General features: G+C 39.5%; 1 protein-coding gene across 8 annotated transcripts in view; it reads left to right on the top strand.

The window, feature by feature from the left end:
- Positions 1-23,454, top strand: part of TNIK (TRAF2 and NCK interacting kinase) — a 401,995-nt gene that overhangs the window by 359,701 nt on the left and 18,840 nt on the right. For all 8 annotated transcript variants that reach the window (NM_001161566.3, NM_001161565.3, NM_001161562.3 and 5 more), the window contains 6 exons: positions 6,740-6,869; positions 13,202-13,366; positions 15,479-15,590; positions 16,383-16,553; positions 18,314-18,457; positions 21,056-21,190. In NM_001161566.3, the coding sequence (NP_001155038.1) occupies positions 6,740-6,869; positions 13,202-13,366; positions 15,479-15,590; positions 16,383-16,553; positions 18,314-18,457; positions 21,056-21,190 (857 nt within the window). The remainder of the gene's footprint in view (positions 1-6,739; positions 6,870-13,201; positions 13,367-15,478; positions 15,591-16,382; positions 16,554-18,313; positions 18,458-21,055; positions 21,191-23,454) is intronic.

Below are 23,454 nucleotides of genomic sequence, written 5' to 3'. Positions count from 1 at the left end.
GAGTGGATCCCGTGAAAGAACCTACCCTTATCCCCTGTTGCTTCCCCAGTTCCTCCACCTAGTAAGCACAAGGTGTTTGTGCCCTGGTCTCCTACAACTTTGATAGAATGAGATGCTAATTTTTCCATCTTCACACTTCAATCACCTCTATTTCTTTGGCTCAGCTACTAGCATTGATTATCAGTTCACACTCACTCTATATAAAAAAGAAGCCATTTCAGGCCACAAATTATTGTCCACTTCAGCAGGGACTGGAGAGGCAGGGCTGGCCAGTCTAAAGGGAATGTCATTCACTGATTAACATCATTACATACAAGCGATTCTAAGAGGCAAATCTAATTAACGTAGCTGAAAAATCCATACTGGTTATTTTGCTGTTGATGACCCAGTTGCTGACAGCTCTAAATATGCTAAAATATGACATTTTGAAACAAATTGCATTAAATTGCCTTTTTAAAAGTAAATAAAATTGTTCTAGAGGCAAAATCACTAATCCAGAACATTTCTGCAAAACATGCTGGCCCTTTTAGTTTTTGTCTTGACTCAGAATTGCTTAATTCTTCTGACAGATGTTTTGAACTCCTTTTAAGCACTGAGCATGCAAGCATCAGGATGAGAGAAGATTATGAAATTAAAAGGTTGCTAAAACTCTCACTATGTGATAGCCCTGCTGAAGGCTTTAAGAGATCTGATAAGTTCGTACTTGGATTTTGTCTTCCAAAAGTTTATATGCTAGTTGGAGAATGACAAAATTACACATGGAAAACTGCAGGCTAATATAAACATTTGGAGGAACAACCAAAGATGTTCATTAGCATTTGGGTTTTAGGTCCCCTATCATATTTTGCAAGGCTATTAATGGTGTTCACCCTCCTACCTTTAAAGGCAAATCTAGGACTTACTCCCCACTGTAGAAACACCCACCTTTCTAAAATTTCCTGAATAGACCACGCTTCACTTCTGTCTGGCATTTCCTGTTCCTTTAGAAATCACCTACTCACAGCCCCGCCTGCATAGGTAGAGCCTGCCCCCTCTTCTGTGCTACCGCTGTATGTTGTGTGTATTCCTGCATCTTCATGTAGTGCCTTGAATCAGGATTGTTTGTTAGGTCTTTGTCTCCTTTTCTGGACTATGATATCTTTCAGGGTAAGGGTTATGCCTTACTCATCTCTCTTGCTCTTAACACGTTCCATGGTGTCTGGAATACAGTGGGTCTTCAGTGACTATAATTTACATTTAATTGCACTGAATTTGAAATTGCAAGTTCTGACTTTGAAGAGTGTATAGCCAATTCTATACAAATAACTGTCAGCAAGATTAAAAAAAAAAAAATCCTGAGGTAATATTAGAATCCCAAGCAGGGGGAAGAGTTGAAGTAAAGACACAGAAAGTTGACTTTGGTGGGAATGTATGGTGTATACGGTGGAGGGGAGTCTGGACTAGTGAAATCAGACCAAGAAGTGTGCTCTTTATATGTAGCCATTGGAAACCATTGAACGTATCTTGAGTTCAGTGTTATATTTGAGGGAGATTATTTCAGCAAGACGATTTGAAAAGGGAACAGACTGGAGACTGGTAAAGCAATTCAGAGGCGCTATTACTATAATCTGCATAAGAAATAATGAACTGAGGCTATCATGGAATGCTGATGGTGGAGGCAAGACTTGACATGGTTCTTAAGGGATTGGTAAACTTTAGATAGATGGAAATGATTGTTTAAGAACATTTAAAATATGTGATTATGTATGTGAGAAAATAAGGGTACGAAGGGTACAAATGTATGTGTGTATGTTTACTTCAATTTGTAAATATATGTATTTTTATATTGCATATAAAATATACACAGTCTGTTCTACAATGTGATGATTGCATGCCTGAGAAATTTCATACTATTAAAAGTTCATTATAAAACAATATTTAGGAATTGAGTATTTGGGGGCCAGAGTGCCTTTTATATACATTCTTATTACCTTTATTTTTTGTTAAGGTAAACCTCTATATTTTGTGCCATATATTTTTAAAGCAGAAAACAAAAATATATTGTAGCTCAGTGCCCACCATGAAGTAAACACAGAGAAGCTTCTCAGAAATGGAGCACCAGCCATTTTGACAAACAGCTGTGGTTTCTGATGTTTAAAACAATAGCTTTTTTCTATGCACTGTGCTGGTTTTGCATTTATTTTACAAGATATAACTTATGAGAGTGCACTTAACTAAGTTTGTATTCCCCAACTAACCAGTTGCAGTATTTCCCAATTCCTCATGCATAGAAAAATAACGAGTGGAGGGAAATACACCAAAATTATAAAAGTGATTACCTCTGGGTAATATAATTATGGGAGATTTTTATTTTATGTATATCCCCAATTATATGATGGGCATGTACTACTTTATAATCAGGAAAAAAATAAAAGCTTTATAGAATAAAAAGAATGGAAGGAAAGGCATTTAATTTGATTTGCATCACATCAAGCAAGCCAAAGAGGCAACCTTAGGTATTAGTGTCTTCCCTCAAATACCAGCAAATGCTCCAGTAGGGAAGATTTCTCCACTGTAAAATGACTCTTTTATTTCCGCTTTTTTCTATGCTATACCTTTGGAAGGAAGCCACTATGCACAGCCCACACTTGAGGAGTGGGGAATCATGCGTTCCCTCCTGTAGGGTAGAATAGCTACATAATTTATTTAGAATTCTTCTGCACAGATTTGTCTCCTCTATTTATTAATTTATTCCATCATTTATATCAGTATAGATTCATGGATATAATCTTTATTTTGTTGCTCAAATTTTCCAGTTTTGACCTTGGGAGCTCTTTCAGTTAGCTCCTGTGCCTCTTTGACTGACATGCCTCCACCTCCCCTTGCTTGTTTGTAAATTCCCATTCCAACAGTCAGAAACCTGGCTTCTGCCATCAACTACTGTATTAGTCCATTTTCGTACTGCTATGAAGAAATACCTGAGAGTGTATAAAGTTATAAAGAAAAAGAGGTTTAATGGACTCACAGTTCCACATGGCTAGGGGGGCCTCACAATCATGGTGGAAGGTGAATGAGGAGCAAAGGCATGTCTTACATGGCAGCAGGCAAGAGAGCATGTGCAGGGGAACTGCCCTTTATAAAACCATCAGATGTCCTGAGATTTATTCACTATCACAAGAACAGCAGAGGAAAAACCCACCTCCATGATTCAATTACCTCCCACCGGGTCACTCCCATGTCGTGGGATTATGGAAGTTACAATTCAAGATGAGATTTGGGTAGGGACATGGCCACACCATATCAACCACCCATTTACTTAATTGTGCACATCCAGTATTTTTGTATAGTAGTATCAAATTTGTTAACCTGTAACCTCATGGGAAACAACTTTCTCAACTAGAATGTACACTGTTTATTGCTCAGTTCCTCTTGCCTTTAGTATTACAGACTCCACTCATTTCCAAGGTTACTTAGATCAATGCCTTTTTGCCACATTTCTCCTCACTGAAGTTGTTCATACATTTGTAATATGGTGAGATTCTCTTATCACAGTTTTTAACATTCTTTCCTGGGAGCTTCTGATCTCCTCAATGATTTTTTAAAATTTATATACATTAAGTTTAACTCTTTTTCCTGTAAAGTTCTATGATATATCTGAATAGATTTTTTGTTATTCTATGATAACCACCCAATTATAAGAAAATTATTTTGGCACATCCTAGTAAACCCAACTTCATAAAATTGTAAAACTTAACATTGATTGCTCAAGATATTTTAAATATCCAAATAATATCCTGATAGCCAATTACTTATCAATTCACAGAAGAGCTATATTTTTACAATAAATCTGAATGAAATCTCTGTTAGACATTAAACAAAGCCCTTGACCCAAGATCTTCAGCGATTTAATAAACATTTATTATGTGCTACCTGCATTCCAGGCACCATGCTTGGCACTGAAAATACCAACATTAATGAGATCTGATCATTGCAGGACTGTGTATTGAATGCAGTGGTAGAGATGCACAAAGGGCAATGTGGAGGCAGAGTGAAGAGCCACCTAAACCATTCCAGTGAGGCTTAAAGAATGAGTTAGCCAGAGGGAGGCAGAGAATAGAAAAGAATCTTCCAGGTAAAGAGGGCAGGCTAAAGTCACCAGGGATTTTCTAGCATAATGTACATAGGAAACTTTTATAAGTTAAATGCTGGTAGAGTTAGGAGTTGGGGCAGGATTTTGTTAAAAAAAATTAGGTTAGTGAGACAGGCAAGAACTAGATAATGGAGAGCTTGTAAGCCACAGTAAGGAGCTTCAAGTTTATCCTGTGGTTGACAGGGAGCTACTGAAGATTGAAAGTAGAAGAGTGATTCGGACTTGGTCAGATTTGTGTTTTGGAGGGCTCACTTTCACAGCTGTGAGGAGTGGATATGAGGGGGAAAGGACTGAAGACGGGGTGGCCACCAAGAAAACTGTTATTCAGGTAACAGAGGAAGCAGGTCTGACTAGGACAGGAGAACTTGATTGTACAAGCATCAGCCTGGCAGATGCCACCAGGCCAACTGAGCCCCTGACAATAGCAAAGAACCCCTTTCTGATAAATAAGAAAAGTGGCTGCCCTCATGGAAGACTCTTGATAAGTACTTCATTGATTTATTGGCTTTATATCATTTTGTCCCAAACAAGTACTTACGGCACAAAGGAAGAAAGAAGAGCAAGAAAAAAAAATGGAAGATACACACAAGATAAACAAATGAGTGAAGAAATGATATTTTGAAAACTGATTTACCAATCTATCAAAATGCCAGGAATTCAATTTTTTTTTCCATGTCTCTGAACACTATTAAAAGCTCCTTTCTAGGAATGACATGTTGAAAATGAAAATGCCTCTTTGGAATTTCTTCCCAAACACATCAGTTCTAGCCCACATTTAGATTCATTCAATCCACTGCTCCAGTTTAGTAATTGCAATGGAAGCTTCTTACTATACATTTTCTCGTCTGGACTCCCCCTGTCATTTTTTCACCTGTCTGTTTTGGATAAAAATCCTTGAAATATGTCTTTCTCTGCCCCAGAGACATCATAAATCTGGTGTATTTCTTGTTTCTTAGATGGAAGTTTCCAGTAATTCTTTGGACTTTCATAAGATCCAAGAGGCCAGAGATATTTTTAAATATATAAGAAACAATGAAAATAAAAGAAAAAAATGATTAAAGTTGCAATTAATATGCCTAGAGAGAAATAAGCCTTGATAACTTTCCTATTTTTAGAAAACCCACTTTAAAAGAGAGGCAGATGCTAAAATAGGAGAACAACAAGTATCGCATTAACAACCAAAATCCTTCTTCCAGAAGCCATGTTGTACCAACCTCAACCTGTGGTGTGTGGTTCTCAAATCCCCTGAGCTCCTAAACCAGAGAAATTCTGTGTCATGCAAATGAGGCACTCCTGATAGAGTGAAGCTCACTATGAGCAGTCAGTCATCACTTTTTGAGCCCTGGCACTGTGCTCTGTGCTACAGGACACAGGAAACATCAGTCTGTGTTCTCAAGGAGTATGCTGAGATCCTGTTACCTTCTCTCATTATACTGTAAACATGATAGCAAGAAAAGAACTGAAAATAAATATACCACCATGCAGGATGATTACAGAGGCTGAGTGCTGTTTAAGTTAAACCTCCTAGTTTATGGATGCCCCAATAAGCCAGAATGTTCTTAGTAGATATTTCTTCTTTATAGAAGCATAAAGCCCATGGATCTAATAATCATTTTTTGCATTCCTAGTATGTGACAACTCTAGGCTGGGTACTGGGTAATAATAATGAACAAAGAGACAAGGACTCTGCCATCACAAGCAATGAGAGGGAAGGAGAAAGGGAGAATTCAAAAGATAAGATAATTGCAAATTGTGATGAGAACTATGAAGGAAAAAGGGTGAAGAGAAAAGAAGAGGGGCTGTTGGGACAAGACATAGGTGATAAGAGCAGACTTCTCACAGAAAGCATCATGTAGGATGAATGAGAGGGAACCAACCAAGGCCAGAGTGGAAAGAACTTTCCAGGCAGAGGGAACAGCATGTGTAAAAGCAGGTCAGGTTGTCTGCTGCCCAAAGAAGGAGGGCAGGGGTCAGGGGAGATCATGCAGAGCCTGGTGACTCCTGGTGCCAACTTCAGTGTTTTTTCCAGGTAAAGCCAAACACTTGCTCAGTCTGGCTACTGGGCAGAGAATAGGTCAAGAGGGGATGCTGCAAAAGTGGGGCCAGTCCAGACATCAACACACATTAAAATTAATATGAGATTGGCAGGGCGCGGTGGCTCACGCCTATAATCCCAGCACTTTGGGAGGCCAAGACGGGCAAATCACGAGGTCAGGAGATCGAGACCATCCTGGCTAACATGTTGAAACCCCGTCTCTACTAAAAATACAAAAAAAATTAGCTGGGCGTGGTGGTGGGCGCCTGTAGTCCCAGCTACTCGGGAGGCTGAGGCAGGAGAATGGCGTGAACCTGGGAGGCAGAGCTTGCAGTGAGTCAAGATCGCGCCACTGCACTCCAGCCTGGGCGACAAGGCGAGACTCCTTCTCAAAAAAAAAAAAATTAATATGAGATGTACTTAAGACCACTGACATGTACACTTAAAATTGGTACAATGGTAAATTTTATGTTATTAATATGTATATTTTACCATAACAAAAATAATGAATATGGACAGGAAACAGATATTTCCTAAAGATACATTGCCATGAATGTTGTTCCTTCTCATCTCAGACCAACAGGAGCTCCAGGCAGCAACGAGCAGTACAATGTGGGAATGGTGGGGACGCATGGGCTGGAGACCTCTCATGCGGACAGTTTCAGCGGCAGTATTTCAAGAGAAGGAACCTTGATGATTAGAGAGGTAAGTTGGTATAAAAACTGTGTAGAGGAAATGCCATTTCTTCAGTGGTTTTTACATTAAAGCTTTCACAGAGAATGCCTATGGCATGTATTTTAAGTATGGGGAATTCTTGGGGGAGGGAGGACCTGTGCTTCCAAATAGTTGAGTGATTTTAATTGTCTGCTGCCTTCTTTCCTGTATTCTTCTAAGCTCTGGCAGTGTGACTTAATTATATTATTCCAAATTCTTCAGCAGGAGCTATGCAAATCAGAATATAGAATTTGGGCCTGAGGATATAAAATTGCAAACTTAGATGTTTCCTACAACAGGAAAACAGAAATGAATGGTCTCTCTGAATAGCATCACTGGCCTTGTTATGTCTCTTCTCCCCATGGTTTTATCTTAGTGGATTTCGTATAAAAAATGCTCAATAGTTCCAAGAAATGATGATATCATCTTATCTTGTTAAATTAACATTAAAACAACCGTTAAGTTATTTTATTGAAATAACAAAGAAATAGGCAGATCTACTTCAAAAATGTACCTTGGAACTTTGGTTGAATTTTTTTTTAAACTCTAGGAACATCATTTCATTTGGGGGGTGGCACATGTTCCCTTTCATCTGTCCTTCTGACATGCAGTAACTCCCCACTGTGTCCATGCTAACCAGAAAGACCCTGACAAATTGAAATCCGTCTTTTCCTCTTTTTCACTTCATCATCACCATGCAAGTTTGAGTGCAGATATTTACTTGGAAGGAAAGAAATGGCTGAGAACATTGGGCAAATGTTACCTGACCTCTCCCTGCATCCATCTATAAAATTTTATAAATAATAGCATACAACTTATAAGATGGTTGAGAATATTGAGTTAGTAAATTAAGCATTCAATAAATGTTAACTATTTTATTTCACTCTCTCCTCGGAAATGAATTCTCCTTTTACTTGTTATCACCATCCAGTCCTCCCTCTGAAACATAAACATATGTCATCTGTTTTTCCTCTTCAGCCAGGACAGAGTTGGGAAACTCTAATAGCAGACTTTGCTCTCCAAAAAGGCAAAGGGCATCTCACTTTCGTAAGAAAGAAAGGAACTGTAGTTTTGAGATGAATAAGGCCTTTGAAATAATAATTAGCAGTGGGGCTATAACTGGAAGACTAGTTCACAAAGCAACTTGCTAGAATTTCATTTTATGTCCTTGTTGAATCTTTCAAGTAGCCTTTAAAGAGTCCTTTCACATATGCCTGAAATGAAAAATGGACTTGGCTGCTGAAATTGACATTGTGTAGTGCTGGCATATAAATCTCTTCATGTGGTTAATGGATAATTTCAATGGAAGTGTAGAAGGCTTCTATCCCTATAACTTACCACTTAGGAAAACATGAGGGAGAACGTTCTGGAGTGAGTTGCTGTTTGACTCCAGATAAAAGGACTCCGATTTCTAATGTGGCTTAAAATTTGCTTGAGTCTTTATGACAGAGTCAATACCTCCAAGTAGACATTTGGAGCCACATTTTCAGTTCATTGCCAGCCACATCCAAATGGCTCCATGTTATTTATAGCACTCCAGTATTCTATGACCACAACCTGTCACTTTGAAAACAGCATTTGCAGCCGGGCGCGGTGGCTCGTGCCTGTAATCCCAGCACTTTGGGAGGCCGAGGTGGGAGGATCACGAGATCAGGAGATCGAGACCATCCTGGCTAACACAGTGAAATCCCGTCTCTACTAAAAATAAAAAAATTAGCCAGGCGTCGTGGCGGGCGCCTGTAGTCCCAGCTACTCAGGAGGCTGAGGCAGGAGAATGGCGTGAACCCGGGAGGCAGAGGTTGCAGTGAGTGGAGATCGTGCCACTGCACTCCAGCCTGGGCGACAGAACGAGACTCTGTCTTAAAAAAAAAAAAAGAAAGAAAGAAAGAAAGAAAATAGCATTTGCCAGTGTCTTATAGGAATTTGATCTATTAAGGAACCCAAAATATTTTTGTCCTCTCAATTTCCAATTCTGCCTTCCTCAATGTGGGTTTTTTAAATAACAAACTGTATTAGTTGGGGTTCTCCAGAGAAAGAGAGTATTTACATATGTAGAGAGAGAGAGACTGCTTTATTATTATTATTATTATTTTTGGAGATGGAGTCTCGCTCTGTCACCCAGGCTGGAGTGCAGTGGTGCAATCTCGGCTCACTGCAACCTCCACCTCCTGGGTTCAGGCGATTCCCCTGCCTCAGCCTCCCAAGTAGCTGAGACTACGGGTGCACGCCCAGCTAAATTTTTGTATTTTAGTAGAGATGGGGTTTCACTGTGTTGCCCAGGCTGGTCTCAAACTCCTGAGCTCAGGCAATCTGCCCGCCTTGACCTCCCAAAACGCTAGGATTACAGGCGTGAGCTACCACGCCCGGCCGAGAGACTGCTTCATTATGAGGATGTAGCTCATATGATATGGAGGCTGAGAAGTCCCATGATCTGCCATATGCAAGCTGGAGACCCAGGGAAGCTGTTGGTATAAATCCTAGTTGGAAGCTGGGTGAAGATGAGATGAAATGTCCCACTTCAACCAGCGGAGAAGAAAAAGAGGGAGAAAATTCCTTCTTCCTCTGCCTTTTGTTTTGTTCAGGTCCCCAGCAGATTAGATGATGCCCATCCCACTTGGAAAGGGCAATCTACTTTACTGAGTCTACCAATTAAATGCTAATTGCTTCCAGAAACACTTACAGACATACCAGAAAAAATGTTTAACCGAGGCACCCCATGGTCTAGTCAAGTTGACACATAAAATTAACCATCATCAAACCTTGAGCTGAAAATTACTAAAAGTACATGTTTAAACAAGATAAATGCAGGTTAAAGTTTATCCCTGACAAAATAAGAACATAAAATAAAAACTCATTATAATAAGATTTAGCTTATAGGGTGCTATTAGTACAGTTCTCCAAGATGAACTTTAGGAGAACTCACCCAACTTGTCATCTTGTGGAGTGGACTAGATGGTTCTATAAGAACATACCACTCTAACACTCATGATCCTGTCAGATGCACAAATTTCCCCTTGTAGTGCATACCCTTATCCCTGTGGTTCTACCTATCCCTGTCCTATAGCCCCACAGGACCACTTTTTACTCGGTTCTAGAATACACCACACCAGCTGTGAGCTGCCATTTGTCCATGGAAGCTCATCTGCTGGAAGAGGTATTTTGTATTATCCACTGCTACCCACACTTCACCAAAAGAAGGTCCCTGTTCTCAATCTTCCTTATCTCCTACAAGCCTCTACTGGGACTCCATGGACCTTTGTACACAGCACCTTCCTGGTATCTTTTCAGCGTTGATCCTCCTCACTGAACCAGAACACTAGCTTGTCATCATGAAGGCTCTTTGGGTTACAAGTAATGAGTAAAAGAACCCACTTAATACAGAGTAAGCAAAAAAAAAAAAAAGAAAGAAAGAAAAGAAAGAAAAAAAAGAACATTTTTTAAGTCGGGAGAGGGTAGGTATCAGAAATAGAGGAGTAAAGGAAGATTTAGGGTATTTCATGGAAGGAACCCAAAGGTAAAAGTGAGCTGAGCCTCTTTGAAGGACTGGAACAGACAGGAGCTCAGGCAGCTTCTCATGTGCAGGTCTCTGGCTCTCTTGCTGCCTGTCTCTCCTTACCCTAATCTCTGCTTTCTTCCACATTTCTCCTTTGCTCTTCTCTCTCTTTGTAGAGGAGCTTTCTCTCCCTCTGCATGCTCCTGCTTTCACCTCTCCACTTCCTCCATTGCAAGATACTCACCACATCCCAGTTCAACTGCCAGCAGAAACTGATCCATGTCTCTTGGGCTTAATATTAAATTCCAGTGGGAATCTGGTCCCTCTTGGCTCAGGCATCCACCCCTGATTCAATCAGCTGTGACCAGGAGTAGGCCCCCTAATACAACAGTGCAGCCCAGAGCACCTGGGCTCTGCCATAGGACAGCTGGGTTCAAACCACTTAGAACCCGTGTCACTCAGGGCAAGATAATTGATGGAATGTCATATATAAAGTGTTTAGCACAGTACTTGGCATGTGGTGGTACACAGAACATCTTTGTGCCAATCCCCACGGGAATGGTGAGAGATAAAGACGAGATATTATTGAGGTTCTGTTAATGAGGTTCTTAAGGCTGTTGTACATCTGTCTTTGTGTTTCCAGTACAGTACTTGGCACACAGAAAGTGTTTAATAAGAAGGTGCTGGTGGAGTGAACAAAAGGGTGATGACTCAGAAGTGGGCAGATTCAGAGCATACTACTGGATTCCTTTAAGCTTCTCACTATCTGAGCCACTTCCCCTTGTTAGCCTCTCTGAGTCTCTCTTTGATAACCAGTGTGTCTGCATCAGTTTTTGGCTTGAGAAAGAGTGCTGCTGATACAAGAGAGGCCAAAAAATTCCAAAGAGATGACATGTGATTTATGCTAAAGAGAGGTTTGGGGAAAATGTTTAAAAGCTTTTCAGTATTTGAACAGAAGTTAAAAGAAAGGAGAAACTGCCCAGTATACATAAAGTAGCACACAATAAGATGTATTAGGACTGAATTTCCTAAATGTCATTTAGAAAAGGAAATGCTCAACTCTGAGAATAGGCACTAATACACGCTACTGATGGCCACTGTGACAAAATGAATCCAGAAAATGTTCCTCTCCAGGACAGCTCGTAGTCCAGGAGCAGGTTGCCAAGAAACACAAAGGACACTAGGCTTTCCAGTTATCTCTCAAGCTTCCTGGAAACATCAATTACATGCACCATTACAGGAGCTTGGGAGTCTGTTTCATCTAAACAAGAAAAAAGAAAAGAAGTGCCTCCTTTCACTTCCAGCCAGAGGCAGGTGCAGAGAGCTGTAATTGCAAATCCATGACAAGCTCCAGAAGTAAAAAGCTAGGCTGGTGAGATGGTCAAAGAAACAGCATGAAACCTTGCACATGCCAGTAGAATGCTTTACACTTAGTAGGAACTAAAAAATACTGTGTTGATGAATGAATGAAAGAAAAGGCAGAGAGGGAAATCATCACTTAATCAGATCTGCTCTAAGAATCCTCAATGAGCCAGTTGCATAAAAGTTAAAAAGTGCAACACTAGTCAGGCCTACAATGTGGGCACTGGCTTTTGGAAACCAGAGTTGTCTTTTAATCTTGCCTTTCCTCCCTGGGGTTTTTTTGGCAGAGACTGCTCTCCAGAGCAATGGCTTCCAAACTTGTTACATCACGTAATCCTATCAGTAAAAACTGTACAGCGTGTCACCTAATACAGTGTATTTATTCACAAGTCATACATTTTTTTCTACTGCACTGACATTATATACATTATAAAATACCTTTGGCCGGGCATGGTGGTTCACACGTGTCATCCCAGCACTTTGGGAGGCCAAGGTGGGTGGATCACAAGGTCAGGAATTCGACACCAGCCTGACCAACATGGTGAAACCCCATCTCTACTAAATACACAAAAATTAGCCGGGTGTGGTAGCACATGCCTGTAATCCCAGCTACTCAGGAGACTGAGGCAGGAGAATTGCTTGAACCTGGGATGCAGAGGTTGCAGTGAGCCAAGATCGCGCCACTGCACTCCAGCCTGGGCAACAGAGTGAAGAGTCCATCTCAAAAAAAAAAAAAAGAAAAACCTTTAAAGGACATTAAAAAGGGATATTAGAGGTGATGTTTCAAATGCTTTGCTAGTTATGACTTTGTTACTGCCTACATCACAAAGCACCATAGTTATTTATTGAGACATAAACATTTATGATAGTTGTAAATCCATATTTTCAAATAGTATTCTAGATCATGTCAATATATTTGGAACTCCTGTCAGATCTGATTAATCATTGTTTTGACCTTGTGAATGACAAAGAGCCCTGTGAGTTAAGTATGGTCTCTGCCCTTTCTTGGAGTACTCCACACACACTGCTTCTTTTCAGCAACACTTTAGGTCGTTTATCTGTTGTGTGGGTTTGTTTCATTGTAACCTGGTAATATGATCTGTAAATATATATAAGTGGCAGGTGCATACAGCACAAGTACTACAAAAGAGTTTACAAGTGTGGGCCCTGCTCAGTCCCTCCCTTTTTGTAGCGTCTCCCTCTGTACATGGGACTCCCATGCCATATGTGACCACTGTCTGTACCTCATGCAGGAACGTAAGGCTTCAGGCTCAATCCATAAACTAAATATTGGCAAAGCTTAATTTCTTTTTTGTTTTCTTAAGTAAAATAGAAATGTGAATATCACCTTCTCATGCCCTAGTGGGTTGATTTGGAGCCCCGTATGCCTATGCTGTGTGAGGGCTGATGTCACTCTGTGGCCTTTTTCCCCCCTCTCTAACTCCTCCCACGTGCTGTGCTCCCTCAGACGTCTGGAGAGAAGAAGCGATCTGGCCACAGTGACAGCAATGGCTTTGCTGGCCACATCAACCTCCCTGACCTGGTGCAGCAGAGCCATTCTCCAGCTGGAACCCCGACTGAGGGACTGGGGCGCGTCTCAACCCATTCCCAGGAGATGGACTCTGGGACTGAAGTAGGTGCTGGGCAACAGCTGACATGACAGTTCTGCTGTCCTTCCTGGGGTTCTAAAACCATGATCTCTTCAAGAATGAGGCTTCGCCAAGCTCCTTGAAACTTGTTTGGTTGGTTTCTACCATAGAGCTACTTATGCAGATACTCAAATAGAGAAATCATGGAAGCAGAGCAGTGAAAAGTTCTCAGATATCATCTGAACCAATACCTGTTTCTACAGATGAGTGTACTGAGGTTCACAGAGGTTGAATGACTTGTCCAAGACACACAGCTGGTTTGTGACAGATCTAAGACCAGAACTGGGACCTCCAGTTCTGATGGAAACTTCAGGCTACACAGATTTCAAGGCCAACAGTTGAGGTTTATATTTGTGTTAATTTAGTCAAACTAAGTATGACTTAAGTAAAATGAAGTTTAAATGATTTGTTTATGAAAAATAAAATTTAATAAATAGATAAGTTCTTAGAGTGTTCATCTTTCATAAATTCAAAATTGTGTGAGAAGAAAGAAACCAAGCATTACCTTTCCTGTAGAGAAACAGCCCCAGCGAAAAGTCTGAATAAACACAATCTGTAGGTAGTGCCCATAGACGCTGATGACTGACACCAGTTGGATGAGTTCACAGTGTGTAGTCTTGTTTCATTAACAGTCTTGTCAATCACACGTAAGGCCCTAAATGTGTTTATAAAGCACATGTACTATTATTTTTGACATTGTCCACACACTAAGTTTTTATGATGCACCCTTTGAATTCTAAAGTTATAGAGTAGATGAGCTTTGCATACCCCAAGGAAAAGAACACAGTGATATACTGCAAAGCACAGCATCCTATTGTAATTTCATGCTGTGTGGGCATTTTCTGCCTGAACACCTCTCTTGGTACCAAGGAGGACACCATAAGATTGAACCCTGGTTCAAATTCTGCTGCTGCCCCAGCTCTATGTGGAAATGTTAGTGCCTGCCCTACCTCTTTCACAGACATCTTCCAAAGATCAAAAGAGAACATGTACGTGAAAGTGTTCTATTTGGTAGGGGGAATTCAACCTTGAGGAGGATGAAATGGTTTTGATTTCATAGGATGGAAAGAAAATCTTGAATTAAATCAGATTAGATCTTTGTGGTTTTCTCCTTATATGTTTAGAGGTCTTGGATGGTGGTTTTATTTTTAAATAAAAACCTAACAGTAAAACTAAAGTGAAATAACCTTTAGTTAAAGATATTTATCCAAAAAAGATGTGCTTATTATGTTGAATACAGATGTGTTTATGATGTTAAAGGACAAGAATAGAAGAAATGGACATGACTGACATTGCAGCTTATTCAGCAAAACTCAAATTTAGAATATTGTGACATAAAACCCTGATATTGAGTTTACTGTTCCCTCATCTCCTTCTGACATCATGTTTTCATGGTGCCATTCAAGCCCAAGATTCATTTTTTAAAGTAAGCCTTCAAGGTACATTGCTCACAAACGTAATATCCTCATGAAGTCCCTAAATAAGGATGTAAATGTAATTATTCTTTTAAGGAAACTATCGTGGGAAGGAAATATCTTCAATTCCAGCATAAAATCATCCCTGAATTGAGGATTTTAAAGCTTTTGGAGCCAACACCAATTCACTTGCATCACCAGGCCAGAGTAGAAGGGCTCAAAGCTCTCCTCCCCAAGAGAAAGCCCCTTGGTTTGACTCTGTTCAGGATAAAGTACTGCTGTATAGGCTTCCTTACTTAGTTTATTGCCAATTATGTCAGCTTTTCATATTGATCAAGTAGTCAATATAGGAGGTTGCTTTTACTGAAAGGGAGAGGTAAGCTCTGTCACCACAGTGATCTTACAGATTTTAAGGTGCCACATGTGGTCCAAAATGTAATTTTCTCACTACAATTCTTGCAGTCTGATAATTAATGAAGTCCTACGAATGCACAATGACTAGTGAGTAACCAATACCAGAAGAAGCTGGAGACAGGCACGCACTGACTAGAGCACTAGAATGTGAACACCTGAATACCTTGAAGAATCTGTGATCGTTTTACAGCCCAAGCACAGTATTGTTAGCATTGTTATTCCTGCAGTATTTATCTGCTCTTCTTAATCTTCTTGCTTATTGATTAGTATGGCATGGGGAGCAGCACCAAAGCCTCCTTCACCCCCTTTGTGGACCCCAGAGTATACCAGACGTCTCCCACTGATGAAGATGAAGAGGATGAGGAATCATCAGCCGCAGGTAAGCAAGAAGGGCCCTGTGTTTAAAAAACAGCTTCGTCTTCCTTTCTGGTATGACCTGATAAGGAAATTAATCCTCAGTTCAGTAGTTAAGCTGATTACTGCTTAGGTCCTATCTTAAAAGGAAGACTTTTTAAAATTATTATTTCTGTAGGACTCCTAAAACAAATGTATTACTTTCCATTTTTTTTCCCATCTCTTCTATTTCGTTTCTGGTAGACCCAGGGGTACATAGGGACCCTAGGAAAAGCTGTTCCTCAGTGATCTCTGAACATAACTAAATGTTTCCCCAAAACAATTTCTGGGTACAATGTTTTACACACATTAGGCACTTAATAAGTGTATGGTACATTGTGTTGAGTTCTAGGTGTGTGCTTCCCACCACAAAGATCAGGCTGATTTAAAGGAGTCTTGCTTTCTAATCTTCTTCAAGTAATTAATCATCAAAGTCAGCTTAGGACAGTTTTTCAACTGATAAACTGCAATTTTAAAAAGTAGATCTTTTTTGCCTATATACAAGAGTGGGGATGGTGTATTTAATTTGGGACTTTCTAGACTCTGCAAGTAGTGTCTATAAGCCTGTTTTTCTAATGAATAAAAGATTCCTTTGATGAATGACTTAGACTTTATTCTACTAAAACAAAAAAAAAGTGTAAAATAAGGAGAGTTTCAGAGTTTCCTTGCCTTTACTATAATTCAAACCAAACAAGGAGAAATCATAGTGTTTTGAAGCCCCATCTCCATAAGTTATCTTTTAAGATGTCACTGACTTCTCTGATTCTTTTTCTCAAAGCTCTGTTTACTAGCGAACTTCTTAGGCAAGAACAGGCCAAACTCAATGAAGCAAGAAAGATTTCGGTGGTAAATGTAAACCCAACCAACATTCGGCCTCATAGCGACACACCAGAAATCAGAAAATACAAGAAACGATTCAACTCAGAAATACTTTGTGCAGCTCTGTGGGGTATGTTGGTGCTTTTTTTTTTTTTTTTTTTAAATAACCACTCATTAATGAACTGACCCTCAAACATTAAAAGCCTGTGGATCTTGTCATCAAAAGAACACTGGTTGAATCCTGGGTATTAGAGACCTAACTTGGGACTATCTTGACCTCAGGAGAAACCAAAAGGAGTTTTATATGTAGAAATAGCTGATACGCTACTAGCCAGGAAGACGAGATTAGATTCAGAGCAACCTTGTCACACAATAGTGATAGGCTAAAGCCAACAAGAGAACTAGCTACCACTGAATACATTGAGTGGGCAAAGCAAAGCCTATAATGTGATCAATCAGAGGCGATTTGTGTCTGGCACTTTGTGATATACCCCACGTTCATTCTCCATGATCCATACCACATCCTGCAAGGGGAATATGAGCATAAATAATGGCATAAACCTTTATTTCAAGCTGAAAAATCAGCCCAGAGTATTTTTGTGAATTACTAAAGGTCATAACCCTAGCAATAACAAGATAAAACTTGAAAAGAACAACAAATAATTTAATGAACTTTCCCTTTTAGTTTAAAACATCAATCTGCATTTTCTCGTGAAAAAGATCTGCAGGTTTTAGCTGACCTCAAACTCAGGAGAGGCATGATGAGATTCTATCAAAGTCTTGGTCTGTGTTACTATAAACATCTCATACAGATTAAGGAAGGACATGTCCCCTGTGTACCCACTGAAAATACTAGGCTTGGATTGGGGAACCATAATTTTAAAAGGCTGAAAGCATTTGAGATGTTAGCGGGGAAGAGTGTGAAGCCTAGGAACCATTTCATGATAGAGGCTCTGTCCTCTGGAGAAGAGACAGAAGAGAACAAGATAGCCACATTTAATACTGAAAGGATTAATATATGGACAAAAAAGCAGACATTTGTGTTGATCAGAAGATAGAAGTACAAGACGTAAGAGAAGTTAGAGAGTTACATGTTCATGAATAAAGTACACTGCACAATGAGCCTCTCAATGTGTGTGTGTGTTGAGGGGTGGATGATACATTTCCCTAGCCATAAATTTTTAGGATTACAACTACCCAGACAAAGCCACTTATGTGCCTGTGCTTCTGTAATAGGGATTACTGCATGGGTGTTGGGCTGCACTAGATTTAGAGACCTGAGAAGTCCCTTAAAGTGAGTATGTCTGTGACTCTCCAGCTATTAACACTTCTCTTGAATGGGTTTATCATTTCCCTAAAAAAGAGCAAAAACTTGAGGGTATGGGGCATAAGATAGTTACATTTTGATTCAAGAAGGAGGAAGGGCCTTTCTTCCATTGGAGTATGGAAATGGAAATTCCACTGTATATTGAAGGTGGGTAGGCTAGAGACCACTGCATAGGGGTGGGGGTGAATCTTGGGGAAGAAGAGAAGTGATTTATAGGGAGAGCCAAGAAAGAAGTGGTTTTTCCAGGCAGGGAATAAAGGCAAATTATGCTAGCTTCACATCTGTGCCTAAGGCTCCTATTGACAAGGACTCTCTGCATTAGGTAGTAAATAACTAGATGTATGAATGCTGCTAACTTTATAAAAGAAAACTGTAATTTCATTACCAGAAGTACAATGATTTAATTATTATGTCAGAGCTTCTACATTCATTAGTTTATATTTACCTACTTGCCCATTAGTGTATATTTACAAGTCACAGTTTCTTAAATTTTATAGGGACTCTCGATGCAGAAGATTAAAGTTCATGAAAAGTCAGTCTTAGGGTGCTTCTTAAATTTACAGGTGTAAACCTTCTGGTGGGGACTGAAAATGGCCTGATGCTTTTGGACCGAAGTGGGCAAGGCAAAGTCTATAATCTGATCAACCGGAGGCGATTTCAGCAGATGGATGTGCTAGAGGGACTGAATGTCCTTGTGACAATTTCAGGTATGTTACTAAGATGATGAGTCCCCCAGGTCCATACAGCGGGAAAGGGATCCACCTCATTTCTGCAGAAACAGTTAGTTCTGCCCTTCCCAGCTAACAAACAACACAATAAAGTATAGCAGTATAGCCAGAGTGAGATTGCCCACATTTTGTAACACTGGGAATTCTGACCTCCAAAAAGAAGTCTCTCACCTCTGCATTAAATCTGAATTAGGCAGAGACATACCACAAAGGCTATATATTTATAGCTCTTTACCTCTGTCAGGACTCAGCAAGGATCTTCGGATGTTTTTAAGGTTTCTGCACTCCAGTTATTACCACATACAGACAGAATATCAAAATGCAGGCTTCCTAGAGGGACATTTAGTAAGCAGAAATTTCTTGGTCTCTTCCCTCAAAAATTCTCTTGCTTATAGCCCACTGATGTTTTGGCAGGTGCAGCTGGCACACTGGGTGATCAAGTCTACAAAAAGATTTGAGTGTGGGAATCATTACTGCTATGCTCTGTAGCTTTCTGATTCCCAAAAAGAGCCTTATATAGGAAAAAAAAAAAAAGATGGAGACTAAAGTGAAGGCCTTGTAACAAGTTAAAAATGCAACCTAAAAGAGGGTAGTTTTGTTGAAAGTTTTTTTTCTTTTTGGTATTTGAAGGAGTTTAACGAGTAACACCCGTCACTTCCCCTCTCATTCCATCTAGTATGGAACCAACTTGCTACTGCACTTTATAATCACCTAGGGAGATGTGAAAATCTAGGCTGCACCCCCAGACCAGAGTCAGAATCTCTGGGGGTGGGGTTTAGGCATCAGGAGCGTTCATAGTTTCTGATGTGTTTCCATTGTACAGCCAAGTTTGAGAACATGGATTTATGCTCAGCCATTGTTTCACGAAGAGACAACACAGGGATGCTGGTTTGAACTTTCCTCAAAGTTCAGCTGTACTTCCATTTTGACAAAATGCTTTTGCTTGTCACTAAACTTCCTCTTTCTTTTACCTTTCCACTGAATGCTCAGTTTCATCTCTTTTTATTCTCCCCAAATAAGGTTAACCAGGTAAATTCCTTTTGTATTGCCATTTGAGTTTAATCCCATGTAGTCTTTTGTTCTGGTTAATTGCTGTCCTGATTGCTATACTACCAAATCAAAATGAAAACTGCATATCTGCCAAAAGTGGGAATGCAACCAGAAAATTCACATTCAGACTTCATTATGTTGTTAGTGGCACATCTTCATTCTTAACAGTGTAAGAGTTTCCTTTTCTCATGAGGCACAGATAGGGAAAGGAGAAAATGAAAATAGGAGCAAAAGATTCTTGAACTAACCTTGGATTCATATTGGCATAGAAAGGAGGAAACACTGGCTCTCGTGTCCATCCTAGCTACTGTGATCAATGTGGATTCTAGGCCTTTGGTTACAAAATTGAATACTGACCACACAATGATTCCCTTAGTTTAGGTGATGAATGTGCTCTCCTGTCAAATGCATGTGTAATGCTTTACTAAGTTCTCTTCTGCTGGTATATATTCATCTATAAAATATAAAACATTTTTTTTGGGAGAGGCCGAGGCGGGCGGATCATTTGAGGTCAGGAATTCCAGACCAGCCTGGCCAACATGGTGAAACCCCATCTCTACTAAAAATATAAAAATTAGCTGAGCATGCTGGGAGCGGCACCTGTAATCCTAGCTACTTGGGAGGCTGAGGCAGGAGAATCGCTTGAACCCAGGAAGCAGAGGTTGCAGTGAGCCGAGATCATGCCACTGGACTCCGGCCTTGGCGACAAAAGTGAAACTCATGTCTCAAAAAAAAATAAATAAATAAATAAATAAAACATTTTTAAAGCCTAAGATAAAGAAAAATAAGTATCCAAAAAATAAAACCCATAGAGCTAAATTTATCATTAGTTAGGAAGAGTCATCCCAATGGACATTTTATCTGGTGCAAATCATCAAATGGAGTATATCAAGTTTTGCTACTTGTGTACTCTTCAATATTGTCTAAATATTTTATCATCCTATGAATTCTTTATTCCAAGATCACTTTACCAAACGGAAATTTAAGTTTTCAAGTTTGCATCCTTTTTTTCCTATTTTTGTTCAGTATTCCTTTCAGTGACTTCAGCACCATAAACCTGCCCAGTATAATTTTCTGAACCCATATTATCCTCTTGTTTGTTATTAGGTTATACGGTGAAGGAAAGGCAGGTGCCAAAATGCCCAGTTGCCAACACTTCTTCATGTGATTGATCTAGAATGTTCTGGAACTCTGATCACTCTGTTGAAGAGTTAGCTCTTACTAAGTTCAGCAGACACTGCTTTGCATTGGGAAGAGAGAGTAAGAGCACATGCTCAAATAAGAAACCACCTGAAGATAAAAGACATTGTAATTCTGTGATGTGTCTAAAACACGTAGAGCTATTTTAACCATAAGTTCTGGCAGAAACACCATTTTAATGACAAAGTGCTGGGGACACTGGTTATTATGCCTTCATACACACACACACACACGTAAATAAAATAAATTAGAAATAAATGGAGGTGGGGAAGGAAAAAGTGAGAGCTGTCACAGCAATTTGAAATTAAACCTCTATTATTTCAACAGGAAAGAAGAATAAGCTACGAGTTTACTATCTTTCATGGTTAAGAAACAGAATACTACATAATGACCCAGAAGTAGAAAAGAAACAAGGCTGGATCACTGTTGGGGACTTGGAAGGCTGTATACATTATAAAGTTGGTAAGTCTCAAGACATGGAATTATAAGTTTGGTCTGTTTACTCAATCAGACTTACTTAGTTAGGTTTCACCTAGTTTTTTCTATCAGATTGATGATGCATGTGTGACCAGCTTCAGATGTTGCTGGAACCTTCAGCATTATTTATATTTTTTAAAAGCCAGATTGATGAAATTGAAAGAGTGCATTCAGAATAAAGTCCTAGGCTCCAGTTTGAACATTTATATCTACTTTCTTCCAAAGACTCATTAAAATGACAAGAAAAGAATAAAAATGCCATAAGCCTATGAGGACAGTGGGACCAAGAGAAGAGAAGAAATGTCGGTAAAATCGAAAGAGTAGCTGAGTGACTGGAAAAAGACCTAGAATACCAGGAAATTCTGAATTCTGAATCTGCAGTGAGGAAAATGATCAAAATCAATCCAACAGAACCTGGAAAGGCCCAGGAACTAAGGCCCCAGGGGAATCTCAGGTGGAAGTGGAGGTGTAAGGTGGGACTGAAAATAGAATTGTTAGAAAATTCATGAGCAGCAAGTCTTCCAGAACCCAGTCTCCACCTCTGAGTAATTAGGCCACTACCTTCCTCTGCTGCAACAGAAGATGAAAGGTTTGCACAGCCAATATGATGCTGGGAATACTTGTGAAAACACACACACATACACATCCCTCTAACCCCTACTTAGCTCCCAAATAGCCATGCCTATACTCCCTGGGAAGAGAATGTAAGAAATGTCTTTGGAGAAACTAAATGGCCAGAAAGAAAAGATGTACAGGTACTAACATTTGAAGTGCCATGAAAAAAGCTTGCTGCCTAACTACCCTAAAGATAAGCCTGTCTATACCAAGGAGTGGAGAAATTCACAAATATGAAGGAAACCTAAACAAACAGAAAGAAAGGACGTTAGAAGAAACAGGGATAATAAGGAGTGGAAGAAAATGTAAAAAGAAAGAAAGGAAGGAAGCAAGAAACTATAATAGCTTTACAGAGATTAGAAAACTTCTTTCTATAAAACAAGAAAAGGGCTGTTAAAAAAAAAGGTAGAACAAAGTAGGGGAAAGTCATTTAGAGACCAAGAAAAAATTTTGCAAACTAAAATGTATTGGCAGAAATAAAAAATGTAATAAAAGTGTTAGAAGATAAGGAATTCTCCTAAAGAGTAGAACAAAAAGCAAAGCAGAGAAAATATAAGAAAATAAAAAGATCAGTCCAAGTGGTTCAAAATCTAAGTAATAAGAGTTTTAGAGAATATGAAATGAAAGTATTGAAGAAAGAATATAAGAAAGGTATCTAGAATTAAAAGCCTTGAAATCCCATATTAAGAGGATTCACTGAGTGTCCAGCATACTAAATGAAAGAAAGACTCACAAAAAGACATATCAACATGATATATCAATACCTGGGAAATGAGAAGGCCTTCAAAACTGGCAAAGCTGTCAGAATATAAGTAAATAAATAACAAACAGTTTACATACAATAGACCCAGAATAAGTGTGGCCTGGGACGTCTCAGCAGCAATATAGAAGCTTAAAAGACAATACAGCAAGGCCTTCCAAATTCCCAACAGAATTATTTCCAACTAGTATTTTATAGCCCTCCTGTGTTAAGGGTTAAGGAGATATATATATATGTGTGAGTGTGTGTATGTGTATACACATATACATACATACATACAGCTGTATATATGTATGTACATACATATATACACATACATATGTATATATATGTGTATATACATATGTAGAGAGAGAGATTATGAGGAATTATTTCACATGACTATACTATACAGGCTGAAAAGTCTCAAGATTTTCAGTCAACAAGCTCATTCAGACCCAAGAGAGCCAAAGTTTTAAGTCCAGTTCAAATCTGAAGGCCTGAGAACCAGGAGAGCTGATGGTGTTGTTCCACTATGAGCACTGGTAGGCTCAAGACCCAAGAAACGCTGATGCTTCAGTCCAAGTCTGAAGGCCAGAAAAGACTGATGTCCTAGCTCAACCAAGCAGGAAGACTCAGCCTTTTTGTTCTAGTCTGGTCTCCAAATGATTGCATAAGGCCCACCCACATTGGGGAGGGCAGTCTACTTTATCACACATGATTTACTCCTGTCTTAAAAATTTACTTTTCATGCACCATTTCTCAGGAAGCAACTGAAGGATGTGTTCCACCAAAATAAATAACTAAACCTAGTAGTCCAGGAAGATGACGAAAATACCCAGAATGATGGTGAAGGGAACCTGGGGTGACAAGTCTGCCACAGGCCTAGAAAGAA

This window comes from Homo sapiens, chromosome 3 (genome assembly GCF_000001405.40).
Source record: "Homo sapiens chromosome 3, GRCh38.p14 Primary Assembly".
In the NCBI taxonomy this organism is placed as follows: Eukaryota; Metazoa; Chordata; class Mammalia; order Primates; family Hominidae; genus Homo; species Homo sapiens.
Note: the sequence above shows the minus strand (reverse complement) of the source record. Positions and strands in the feature narration are given on the sequence as shown.